The sequence below is a fragment of the Homo sapiens genome, chromosome 3, assembly GCF_000001405.40.
Source record: "Homo sapiens chromosome 3, GRCh38.p14 Primary Assembly".
NCBI lineage: Eukaryota > Metazoa > Chordata > Mammalia > Primates > Hominidae > Homo > Homo sapiens.
The window spans coordinates 46952344-46965359 of record NC_000003.12 but is presented as its reverse complement, the minus strand read 5'-3'; the positions used below and the strand labels follow the sequence as shown (position 1 = coordinate 46965359).

Genomic DNA, 13016 nt, shown 5'->3' with positions numbered 1-13016 from the left:
TGCCAGTGACACAGTTGTTCCGCCACAGTCTCCCGTTTGGTTGACTTCTGTGGTATTACAAGGTGTAAGTTGTGTTCCCCAGGCCTCACTGATAGGGGGCAGGGAATTGGAAAGCAAAGGAATGTTGAAATTCAAGCTGGTTTTTAATCTTTCTGTTAGCTTTTGCAACAAAAGAATTTGCATGGTCTTGATGGTGAATCCCTCAGTTTTTTTCTCCTGTCTCCTGGAGCCAGGAGGGTGTGAATGGGATGTGCTTCCCTCTCAGTGTCCAAGTAGCTGTCTTCTGGGTGTGCTTGGGAGTCCTTAATCTTCTCTTTGGAGGACTTTTTCCTTATGGTCCTCTTGACTGAGTTAGTTCTCTCTAGATTTTAATTATTTTATTTTATTTTATTTATTTTATTTTATTTTTTTATTGATCATTCTTGGGTGTTTCTCGCAGAGGGGGATATGGCAGGGTCATAGGACAATAGTGGAGGGAAGGTCAGCAGATAAACAAGTGAACAAAGGTCTCTGGTTTTCCTAGGCAGAGGACCCTGCGGCCTTCAGCAGTGTTTGTGTCCCTGGGTACTTGAGATTAGGGAGTGGTAATGACTCTTAACGAGCATGCTGCCTTCAAGCATCTGTTTAACAAAGCACATCTTGCACCGCCCTTAATCCATTTAACCCTGAGTGGACACAGCACACGTTTCAGAGAGCATGGGGTTGGGGGTAAGGTCATAGATCAACAGGATCCCAAGGCAGAAGAATTTTTCTTAGTACAGAACAAAATGAAAAGTCTCCCATGTCTACTTCTTTCTACACAGACACAGCAACCATCCGATTTCTCAATCTTTTCCCCACCTTTCCCCCTTTTCTGTTCCTCAAAACCGCCATTGTCATCATGGCCCGTTCTCAATGAGCTGTTGGGTACACCTCCCAGACGGGTGGTGGCCGGGTAGAGGGGCTCCTCACTTCCCAGAAGGGGCGGCCGGGCAGAAGCGCCCCCCACCTCCCAGACGGGGCGGCTGGCCGGGCGGGGGCTGACCCCCCACCTCCCTCCCGGATGGGGCGGCTGGCCGGGCGGGGGCTGACCCCCACCTCCCTCCCGGACGGGGTGGCTGCCGGGCGGAGGGGCTCCTCACTTCTCAGACGGGGCAGCTGCCGGGCAGAGGGGCTCCTAACTTCTCAGACGGGGCGGCTGCCAGGCGGAGGGGCTCCTCACTTCTCAGACGGGGCGGCCGGGCAGAGACGCTCCTCACCTCCCAGACGGGGTCGCAGCTAGGCAGAGGCGCTCCTCACATCCCAGACGGGGCGGCGGGGCAAAGGCGCTCCCCACATCTCAGACGATGGGTGGCCGGGCAGAGACGCTCCTCACTTCCTAGATGGGATGGCGGCCGGGAAGAGGCGCTCCTCACTTCCCAGACTGGGCAGCCAGGCAGAGGGGCTCCTCACATCCCAGACGATGGGCGGCCAGGCAGAGATGCTCCTCACTTCCCAGATGGGGTGGCGGCCGAGCAGAGGCTGCAATCTCGGCACTTTGGGAGGCCAAGGCAGGCGGCTGGGAGGTGGAGGTTGTAGCGAGCCGAGATCACGCCACTGCACTCCAGCCTGGGCACCATTGAGCACTGAGTGAACGAGACTCCATCTGCAATCCCGGCACCTCGGGAGGCCGAGGCTGGCGGATCACTCGCGGTTAGGAGCTGGAGACCAGCCCGGCCAACACAGCGAAACCCGGTCTCCACCAAAAAAATACGAAAACCAGTCAGGTGTGGCGGCGCGCGCCTGCGATCGCAGGCACTCGGCAGGCTGAGGCAGGAGAATCAGGCAGGGAGGTTGCAGTGAGCCGAGATGGCAGCAGTACAGTCCAGCTTCGGCTGGGCATCAGAGGGAGACCGTGGAAAGAGAGGGAGAGGGAAACCGTGGGAGAGGGAGAGGGAGACCGTGAGGAGAGGGAGAGGGAGACCGTGAGGAGAGGGAGAGGGAGAGGGAGAGGGCTAATTATTTTATTTTTGATTTCTAAGTGGGCTTAAGTTTTTCTTTTTAATGACTTTATAGTGGCATAAAAAATCTTTTTAATTAAGCATACAAACTATACAGAGAGAAAAGTACATAAATCAGCTCAGTAATTTTCCTAAGGTGAACATGCCCATGTCATCAGTCACTCAGATCAAGAAACATGATAACATCCCAGAATCACTTCTCAGGTGCTCACTCTTCAAGGGGAACCACTCTGGACTTGTAACACGAGAAGTTGCCTTCCTTCCTTTTGAACCTTATATAAATGGAATTAAACAGTATGTAGTTTTCTGTATCTGGCCTCTTTCATTCATCATATGTTTGTCAGTTGTTGGGTGTGGAATTAGTGCATTCTTATTTCTGTATAGTATTCCATTGTTTGAACAGACCAGATTTTATCCATTCTCCTCTGGATTTTCAGGCTGGAACTATTATGGATTGTGCTGCTCTTCCCAGTCTTGTACATGTCTTGGTGAACATATGTACCCATCTGTAGGATCTATGCCTAGGAGTGGAATTGCTAGGCCGTAGGGTGTATATAGGACAGATACTGTCAAACACTTTTGCAAAATGGCTCTACTATTTTGCACTCTGACCAGCACTGTATGGCGGTTCCTCTCTAATACTTGGTATAGTTAGTTTTTTTCATGTTAGCCAGGCTGGTGGAGGTATAGTGGCATCCTTTTGTGGTTTAAATTTGTATTTCCTACCTAATGAAGTTGGATTATCTTTTCATATGTTTATGTGAAGTGCCTGTTCATGTCTTTCACCTCTTCTCCTTTTTATTCAGTTGCCTGTTTTTCCTATTGATTTCTAGAAGTTCCTTATGTGTCCTTTGTTCTGTGTATGTGATGTGACTATCTCTTCTGCCTGCCTTGGCTTTGACTTTTCAGGCTCTTAAAATTAAATTTTTTTTTTTTTTTTTTTTTTGAGATAGAGTTTTGCTCTTGTTACCCAGGCTGGAGTGCAATGGCACAATCTTGGCTCACTGCAATCTCCGCCTCCTGGGTTCAAGCAATTCTTGTGCCTCAGCCTCCTGAATAGCTGGGATTACAGGTGCCCACCACCATGCCCAGCTAATTTTTGTGTTTTTAGTAGAGACAGGGTTTTACCATGTTGGCCAGGCTGGTCTTGAACTCCTGACCTCAGATGATCCACCCCCCTCAGCCTCCCAAAGTGCTGAGATTACAGACGAGAGCCGCCTCACCTGGCCCAAAATTGAATTCTTTGGCGAATAGTAGTTCTTAATTTTAATGTAGTTTATCATTTTTTTCTAATATCTTTTGTGGCCTGTTTAAGGAAATAGTTGCCTACATATAGGTCTAGATGATATTCTTTTATGTTATAATCTAGAAGTTTGCTTGTTTTACTTTAACCTTTAGACCTCTAACCCATCTCGAATTTACTTTTGTGTGGTGTGCGTAGGGATCAAGATTCTTTTTCTCCCCATATGGGTATCAGTGACTTGGCACTATTTGATATTTGACATTTGTGTTTTAGAAGAGTTTCCCGTGACTTAATTGGCATGCACTGTTTATGATCATGCTGTTAACCTTCCATAACATCCTGATAATTGTCATTGTACATATAGTAGTAGTAGTAGTAGCAGTGGTAGCTGCTAAAATATATTTGTTTTTTCATGCTTCTAAGTCCCAATTCATGCCACCCCTTCAGTGGACAGGCAGTTCCTTGTAGGCAGAGACAACTCTTAAACTTATTTTAACAAAACATTCAGACATTTCCTGGGTGCCCCATGGCACTGTAGTGGGTATGCTGCGTCCTGTGACTCTGAGCCCCTTAGGCTTTGTGCACTAGAGAAAAGACAACATGGACTCCCAGGGAAGACAAGGACCTGCTGAGCCAGGCCCTCCAGTGCTGGCCTCCTGACCTGCTAGCCAGACTCTGTCCATACTCTGGACCTACCGAGCCAGGGGTGTTCTGACTAGAAATATGTGTTACCTCCGATAGTTGCTTCAGGGTCAGTTGTTTCAAACTGGGGCTGTATGTTTTAAATGGTTTTTGGCTCTTCCATTGACCCTGCAGACATTGGGAGCAGCATGTGATTCTGTAGCACTAAGAATTGTAATACAGAAATGAAATGCAATTCATATTTTTGTTTCTGGAGAAGATGTCTCATATATCATCTTGGAATATTTTCTGTAACCTATCCCACATACCTCCAACCCACCTCCAGCGCATATACACATGCACATACAGCATGTACTCTCCACACCCAGCCCCCTGCCTACAGTGCATCCCACCTCCTTACACTCCCTTAACCTCACAACACCACCACACACCCCAGGCCCTACCCCACACACTTCCCCCCACAATAGTACCTCCCTTCTCCCCACACCCTCCCATTCCCTGCACACCTCCAACACTCCACAGCACCCCTCCACATGCCCCCAACCCACACCTACAAACCCCAACCCCTTTACACCAATACATATCTCATACACACCTCAAAACACACATAAGCAGCACCACCTTTATACCTCCATACCCACAATTTGCCTTTCCCTACACATACACCTTCAGCAGCTGAGACGGACTTGCTGTTTCTAAGCCAGTTGTTCGGAGATCTGGGAGACCCCATAGCGAGCTTGATAAGGCTCAGTCATGCCTGGCCCTCTTCCTTCCTTCGGAGCTTTCCCTTAAATTCTGGGGCCCTGGCTTCTCCCTGGTTTTGTTTTGGAGGGAAGCAACAGCTTGTATCCTTGAAAGAATTCCAAGAGGAAAAACAGTTGCTTCGGCAACGGTGCCCTGTGGCAGTAACATCCACACTCCTGGGCTGTTTTGATTCAGGGCTCTAAAGAGCTGCTCTGTCTAGAGAAAATGTGAGTGGCTGGAGCAGAAAACATTTGTCCTTTCAAGGACAGCCCCCCTCCCATTGTTTTCAGGGCAGGGCACCACTAGATTTCTTGCAGGGTAATTTGAATCCTGAAGAAAAAGCACCTGTGTTTGACATCATCTGGTTAAAGCAGGACTTTCCTGTCCTGGGCCCAGGAGTCCATGACTCAGGCAGCTTCCATCTATGTAGGAAGTGAGAGTGAATGCTGGGCTGTGTCTGGGGTGAGGAGTCAGTTTCCACATCTGGCTGTTACAAGTGTTATTGTTGAGGCCTCTCTGTGCACAGAGCCTGGGTGGGAAATGGGGTCAGTGAGGCTGGCCCTTGCCTCAAGCACGGTCAGGCTGGGGCCCTGTGGGAAGGCTGATCTGTGTACCCCCAGGTATAATACTGTATACTGCCATCCACGGAGGAGGGGCAGAGGAGAGCTGTCAGTGTCTTGGAGGGAGGGCATGGACAGGGGATGGGGGACAACACTTGCATGCATGTCGCGTGGAGGAGAGCGCTCAACCCAGTATCGATATACATACCCTGCTTTATCTCATTGGTTGGCTTATGAGTAGTGTCCCCATTTGGGCTTTGTCCCAGGCTGCATAACTCACAAGACAGAGCCTGAGCTGGTAGAGGTGCTGAGAAAACACTTGAGGGATTGAGTGGATGGCATGGAGAGTGATAGCTGTTTCCAGGTGTGAAAGAGGTGGAGGGATTTTAGGCAGAGGAGGGGCAGGAGCAGAACAGGCAGGCATGGAGGTGGTCTGAATTTGGGAAGATGATCTGTGGAAGGCCCTTCTTCCTTGCCACCTCCCTGTCCCCCCACACTGGCTAGCGTTTTCTGACTTGGATTCATATTCTCTGCACACGTGTAGGGTCTGCTCTTCTCAACTGTGGTAGCTCGAGGGCAAGGGCTGGGGCTTCCTCCGGGTGACACTGATGGCTGCTCTGGGTGAACTGAGGGAAGGAACAAGGCATGAATGTGGGGATCTGTTATGTGACCCCTTTGTCACGGGATGAGAGGGCCTCACCCCGAAGACACAGGTGAGAGTCTCAGGCTCCACCATCATCATCACTGTGGTTGGCGCCTACTGACTGAGGACGTACTCTGTGCCAGCCACAGTGTAGGGCTGTCACTCACATGCGTACCCTTAAGTCATGCCATCTAGCAGTTGAAGAAACTGCAGCTCTGAGAAGCTAAACTGGCCCAGAGTACCACAGTACACAGTTGTTAGTGCTGGGTATTGACTCCTCATGTGGTTCTGCTTTCTCAACCTTTCCATATGCTGAGCATGTGGATTTTTAAAAACGCTTTGTAGCTAAAGGAAGTGTGTGTAGGTGGGGATAAGACCTTGTGAAGCAGTATTTCCCCCCACAAAAAAATGTGCCAGTTCTGACTTGTTTAAATTTGGTTTAATTAGGATTTTTATCACTTGTAGATCACACCAGAGAGCAGACAGCTGTCTTACCTTTACTTCTCAGATTGTGACACTCCAAGAAGCAGCTGACCAGAGGTTAAAATAGCTTCTAGTCTAGGAGCTTCAGCACATTTTGTTGCTGTGTAAACCTCTGACTTGCCTGGAAATTGACTTGTAAAGAATTTTGCATTTCATACTGGGGTGCCTGATGCTGGGGTCTGGTATATTTCATGCTCAGCTGTGTGTTGGCATGGAGGGAATGGAGAGATGGCTCCTAGCTCAGGTAAGGGCCTTGGCTTACATCAGTGACTGGCCTTTGTGGTGGTCAGGAGAGTTGGGGAGGATGCTGGGACCAAGCTCATAGAACACTTAACAAACATCCCGAGTCTCAGCTCCTCCTTTCGCGGAGTGGGCATCACAACCTTTGCCCTGCCCTTATCTTGGGTTCTCGTTGGGGATTGGATGAACAATGGAATGTAACGCAACTTTGAGCTCTATAAAGTGCTGGATGCGTTTGTTCCAGAACCAAACCGAGGGTCGGGCTGCTTATTCCCTTGGCCCAATAACGAGATGCAGATGAACTGGGAGAGAAGGGAGTTTTTTTTATTTCTGCAGCTGGTTACAGGGAGAAGGCCTGGAAATTATCACCAGACCAATTCAAAATTACAAAGTTTTCCAGAGCTTGTATATCTTCTAAGCTATACATCTATGTGTAAATGTGCATTCATCTAAAGACTTAAATGATTAACTTCTTCTAGTCTATAACTAAGATCTGAGTCCTGAAGACCTTCCTCTGGACCCTCAGTAAGTTTACTTAATATAATGGGTCCAGGTGCTGGGGTGATTACCCTTATCTTGTCTCCTGCTAAATCATGGAGGTTTGGGGCGTTCCTTTTAGTCTCCCAATAAACTTGTTTGTGGAGGCCTGGGGAGTTTCTTCAGACCGCCAATAAAACTTATTTAATCCTAAACAGATCCTGTTAAGAATTCTTCGTTATCTTGTCGTGCTTCAAGGCTCAGGAAAGGCCTAGGCCAAACTCTTGGTGGGCTTTTGTTACATTCTAGCCTTTGTGTAAGGGCACTGGTTCTATTAGCTTTACATATATATGTGTGTGTGTGTGTGTGTGTGTGTGTGTGTGTGTGTATTTATTTTTTTATTTTTGAGATGGAGTCTCGCTCTGTTGGCCAGGCTGGAGTGCAGTGGCACGATCTCAGCTCACTGCAACCTCCTCCACCTGGGTTTAAGTGATTCTCCTGCCTCAGCCTCCCGAGAAGCTGGGATTACAGGCGCCTGCCACCATGCTCGGCTAATTTTTTGTATTTTTAGTAGAGACAGTGTTTCATCATGTTGGCCAGCCTGGTCTCGAACTCCTGACTTCAGGTGATCCACCCACCTTGGCCTCCTGAAGTGCTGGGATTACAGGCATGAGCCACCGCCGCCCTGGCTAGCTTTTAATATTTAACCTAGCTACTCAGTCAGTACTGAAACGTAACGGAGGCCTGCGTTAGTGAGACCTGGCCTGCCACACACTTCGTTGTTAGGTTATTGCTATAAATGGCCATGTGTAGCCAAGGCACTTATTTGCAAACAACAGAAATCCATTCTGGCTGATTGTAGAAGAATACAAAGTGCTTGTTGTTTTAGAAATCGAGCCACTTACAGCTTACCAGGAGTAAAAGAAAAAAAAAATAATTAAAAAGAAAGAGAGCCAGCCTTAGAGGTACACAGCCTGAAAGAAGCCCAACATTTCATAAGAAAAATGGAAAATGGCTCAATGAGGAAACTGCTACTGCCTTCGAGTACTAGATACTACAGTTAGCCCTGTTGCCCTGTGCCCTGGAATCAATCTTGAATCAAATCTTATTGCAGCTTCCCTAGAGAGAAGTCTGTGCCACCCCACCCCTACCTCTCTGCAGGTCACAACTCACCATTTGGAGTCTCTTATGGGTATATTGGATCAATAGGGCCACAGTTACCTTCCTGCTTCAAGGCAGGCTGGGAAAGTGAGTGGGGCACTTTTGGCTTCTGTAGTAAGGGGCAGGGTCTTCCTCCCCCAAGACTCAAGGTGGAGCTTTTGTAAGTGAAGGGAGGAGCTCGGGCTCTGGGCAGCCCATAGAATAACTTGGGAACATGGTGCATTGGACACACCAGTCTACTTGAGGTCGAGACCCGAGGTCTGGCCCTGGCTTCTCCCCTTCTCTTGCTGCACACTTCACCTGGATCTCCTGTGGCCCTCCGGATATTTACGTTGTATGAATGATTTTTATTTTGGGGGGGTGGGTGTGGTGGTGACAGGGACTCACTCTGTCAACCAGGCTGGAGTGCAGTGGTGCAATCTCACTGCAGCCTCAACCTCCTGGGCTCAGATGATTCCCCCACCTCAGCCCCCCAAGTAGCTGGGACTACAGGTGCACACTACCACTCCTGGCTTTGTGTTTTTTTGTGGTAGAGACAGGGTTTCACCATGTTTCCCAGACTGGTCTTGAACTCCTGGGCTCAAGGAATCTTCCTGTCTCAACCTCCCAAAGTGTTGGGATTACAGGCGTGAGCTACTGAGCCTAGCCCCTTATGAATGATTTCTTTGTGTTTCTTCCTATCCTGCCTGCCCTGTGTCCAGAGCCCACCTTGGTGACCACAGTAGCCCTCAGGCAGCTGAGTGTGGCCTCATGCAGTCCGCTTTCTCTTCTAGGTCAGCCTCTTGAAGAGGAGGCAGCATGTGGTCTCACTCAGAGGCTCCTCAACTGGGCCATGTATTAGAGATGTGACCCAGGAGTAGGTGGGCTCTTTGAACATTCAGATTCCCAGGTCTTACCGTGGAAGATTCTGATTTGGCAGGTGCTGTTTATAACCGTTCCCTGGGCTGCTGCTAGTTTATCCTCTATCAGCTCATATCTGAGGCCTCTGCAGCCCTACCAGTTTGGTGGTTTTCTTATTTTTCTCATTTGGTGTAAGAATAGATGTGATCACACTTCTCTGGCTGTTAGGCAGAAAGCAGACCTAAGCCTTAGGGCTGTTTATTTGAGAGAATTTTGAAAGCCTGATGCAATCAGAAAGCCCCTGTTTAAATGTGGGCCTATCTTTTATTAGCCCTGAGCCACTGGTTAAGTTTCTTAGTTGTTCTGAACCTGGTCATTTGTATGCAGTGATAATACCTGATTCCGGGGTATTGGTGGGGGCCAGAGGCCCTGGTGTGCACAAGAGTGAAGTGTGAGTAGATGAGCAAGTACCACATGGCAGCTTGCAGTTGGAAGGGACTGTTCCTCCCGACAGACTCAGAGACAGCTGCTCTTCTGCTGTCCTTGGGGTGAGAAGGTGGCTCTCCTAACTCACATCCAGCTTGTTTTTCGGGGGGCCCCTTTGCTTTCTGGGCTTTGCTAAATGCTCTTTATAAAATACTCGAATCATATTGTTGCCACCTCTCTACCTGTCCTCCAGGTTCTCAGTGCTTGTGAGATAAAGTCTGTAGCCCATCAGGCAGGCCCATCCCACTTCCCCAGTGCCCTTGGATATCACCACTCTCTGCCTGGACACACCCGCTCCTTCTAGTGACCCTGACATTCCCCTCTCTGACCGCTCAGTCTGCATCTTCCCTCTTCTCTCCCTGGACAGCCTGCCCACCTGGCTGGCCTTCCAGGTGTTCTCGGGTCCCACCTTCTCTCATTCCCAGTGGCATTCAGGCTTTGGATGCACTATAGGGTGGTTATCTGTTCACTGTCTGCTTCTCTCTTCCCTGCCCCTGACTTCCCTGAGGGCAGCCATCTTGCTTTAGTCACCTTTTTGTCTGCCCCATGACAAGACTCAGAGACTCCGTAAACATTCAAATGAAGAAGCAACTAGGCAGGCACATGGATTTGGGAGTTAGTTGGGCTGAGATTTTCCTCAGGAAAAACAGACTTGCCCACGAGGACAAGTCCAAGAGTTTATTTAAAAAGTGCAGGCTGTGGCGATGCTAACAGCAAGAAGAACTTCACTGGGTGATTGTGAAGTCAGTTAGGTTTCTTCGATCTGTAGTTTAGGCATGGACTAGGGGTGCTTTGACAGCCGTTAACATTGGAAAAGAACTGGGCATTTTAGTTGGTCACAGGCTTTGAATAAGCCAGTGGTGTGACGTGGATACCAGGAACACTGATGTCCCAGCTGTGGTGTTGGCTGTCGGTTGGTTGGGAAATAACTTTTTTTTTCAGACGGAGTTTCGCTCTTTTGCCCAGGTTGGAGTGCAGTGGTGCAGTCTTGGCTCACTGCAACCTCCTCCTTCTGGTTTCAAGCGATTCTCCTGCTCAGCCTCCTGAGTAGCTGGGACTACAGGTGCCCGCCACCATGCCCAGCTAATTTTTGTATTTTTAGTAGAGATGGGGTTTCACCATGTTGGCCAGGCTGGTCTTGAACTCCTAACCTTGTGATCTGCCCGCCTCGGCCTCCCAGAGTGCTGGGATTACCAGGCGTGAGCCACCGTGCCCGGTGGAAATACCTGTTCTTTTAATAAATGGTAGCTCTTATTCCCTTGACCCACCCCATTTTAAGAACAAATCTACCCACATGAAAGGTCACATAGATGCTATAGAGGTTGATGCATCTGGTGCCAGGTTTGAGTGAGGGCCGTTGGCAGCTATCAAGGAAACTGTTTTAGGGGATCCAGAATTGATGTAAACAGGGCCATGGGACTAGGGTGTGTGTGGGAGGCGAAAGGGTATCATTTACAGGGGCCACCCACTGAGGTTTTCAGGTCCTTGCTTGCTGTCTCTGTTGGATCCAGCGAAAGTGAACACATAGTGGTTGGGCTTTCTCCTCCTCTTCCCTCCTGGGCTCAGCCTAAGGATCCTATCTACCAGCCAGAGTTTGTGGAGAAAGGTCACCTTCTTTTGTTCTACAGGCCTTACAGATCTGGGGATGGTCAGGTAGCAGCCACATGTCCTCAGGACCAGAGAGTCTGGGTGGTTGTTCCAGTCCCTGGAACTGACCAGGTGGGCCCCCTGTGCCTGATTCCTCTGACTGTCCACTGTGAGGCAATGGGGAAGGGGTTTCTGGGTGCCACACGAAGCTGTCTCCCACCAGGGGAGGGGTCTTCCAATCTGCATGGACCTTATCATTTGCTTTTGTGATTTGCTCACTGCTGCTCCCCTCGTGAGCTTAGAATGGTGAGGAAGTCCTAGTGGTTGTGAATTCTGCTTTGTGGTGAAGGAGGCTTTTTTCCCCTCCAAGAAAAGGGAAATGGTGGGGTAGGGTGAGAGGGTGGGGAGGTGACTTCATTGCTCATCACCAGTTAGTTTCTTAACCGACATTTTTAGCCCCCCAGTAATGGAGATGTCTATCCTGATTTAAGAGGGCTTAGTCTACAATTGGCTGCTGCATTTGCTACTGTGGTTAGAGTCCCAGGCTGCAGAGGGACGCTGGTGTGTGCAGGCTCAACCTGTCCTCTTCTGCACCAGCAAAGCTGGACTTTTTTTTTTTTTTTTTTCCAAGCTTGAGAAAAGTCATTAGGCATTGACAAGGCTGTGTCAGGCCTGAGTGCCAGCCATGGTTTCCTGCTTCCCCATTTAGCCAGGTGAGGGTCAAGAGAATCTGTTTAGGGTATGAGTCAAGATAGTGAGCCATAGTCAGCTAGGTTCCTCTGGTTACTTTTATTATTAAGTCATTTTGACAGCAGAATTAAGGAAGATGGAAAAAATACTACCCACGGTTGAGTGCGAGTCTGTGAAGTCTTTGGCCATTTGTATGTATGGTATTGCCATGGTTGCAATCATGAGTATGTAATATAGGACTCTTACCCCTGGCGTTTGTGTGTTTGTCTGTTGCATAGTGCTGCCTCGCTATTTTAATGCCTCCCCTGGCCCATCATGTGAATGCTGGCCTGCATAACTGTGCCCTACGGTGTTGGGCTCACTGCATAGTTCCACTTCTCCCTACTGTGAGAAACACAGCTCTAAACACCTCTGCATGCATTGCTCTTTTATTTCCTTGTGATGTCTTTTGGGACTGGAGTTCTTGGCCAAGAAATGACAATATTTGGGGCTCTCGATGGGTTTGATTGTATCTCTCTGAAATGACACCAGAAAGAGCTGTCAACTCTCATGTGATGACAGATGGAGGCACCCTAGACACACTTGAAACCATTTGCATGTGAAAGGTAGGGACAGGAGTGGGACAAGAGCAAAGGGCAGGGGTTCTAGAGGGAATCAGCCTATGCTTGAAGCCTGCCCTGCCATTTGCGTCCTGGCAACCTCTAGCTGTGTGACTCTGGATGGGTTACTTAATTGTCCTGGGCTTCCATTTTTCTCATCTGTGGTAGGAGAAAGGAGTGCTGACCTTATTAGATTTTCATAGTGATTAATTATTGATTATTTTTGATAATATCAGTACTACTGTTTAATTAATGGAATAATCAGTTGCCTGGCATACTGTTATTACCAAAGAATTGACAGTGTTGTAAGACATGCAGAACAGAGAAGAGTGACATTTGGGTTCGGCACTGCCCAGGGCTCACCTTCTAATGGAAAATCTTCCAATTTTATGGAACCTAGTTAAAACCACACTCCCAAGAAGTGGGCAGGGTTGGGATTTTTGTCTTCATTTTGCAGGAGAGAAGCAGAGGTGCAGATAGTTGTTGGAAAAGAGGATAGAACAGACAACTAAAGGATAAACAAGCAGCATGTGTGGTAGAAAGAACTGAGGATGTGGCAGCGGGGAGCTGGGCTTCTGTTTATTTCCCAAAACTTGTGCTCTACCCAATGGAAAGAGTATTAGGTATGACATGCACAGACCT

The 13016-nt window shown here is 48.6% G+C and overlaps 1 protein-coding gene across 3 annotated transcripts in view, besides 4 other annotated features; it reads left to right on the top strand.

Annotated features, from left to right (window-relative positions):
- The window catches only part of CCDC12 (coiled-coil domain containing 12), a 60265-nt gene that overhangs the window by 16635 nt on the left and 30614 nt on the right, over positions 1-13016 (top strand). The gene's annotated exons all lie outside the window — the stretch shown is intronic.
- Positions 66-115: an enhancer, noted in NCBI's record as "active region_19804". NCBI's record gives its function as "activates an Ori minimal core promoter by ATAC-STARR-seq in GM12878 lymphoblastoid cells {active_cell/tissue: GM12878}" and the evidence as "EXISTENCE:reporter gene assay evidence [ECO:0000049][PMID:35858748]".
- Positions 172-729: an enhancer, noted in NCBI's record as "NANOG hESC enhancer chr3:47006121-47006678 (GRCh37/hg19 assembly coordinates)". NCBI's record gives its function as "activates a minimal SCP1, AML or CMV promoter by ChIP-STARR-seq in naive H9 embryonic stem cells {active_cell/tissue: H9 hESC(naive)}" and the evidence as "EXISTENCE:reporter gene assay evidence [ECO:0000049][PMID:30033119]".
- Positions 4246-4747: an enhancer, noted in NCBI's record as "H3K4me1 hESC enhancer chr3:47002103-47002604 (GRCh37/hg19 assembly coordinates)". NCBI's record gives its function as "activates a minimal SCP1, AML or CMV promoter by ChIP-STARR-seq in naive H9 embryonic stem cells {active_cell/tissue: H9 hESC(naive)}" and the evidence as "EXISTENCE:reporter gene assay evidence [ECO:0000049][PMID:30033119]".
- Positions 4795-4894: an enhancer, noted in NCBI's record as "active region_19803". NCBI's record gives its function as "activates an Ori minimal core promoter by ATAC-STARR-seq in GM12878 lymphoblastoid cells {active_cell/tissue: GM12878}" and the evidence as "EXISTENCE:reporter gene assay evidence [ECO:0000049][PMID:35858748]".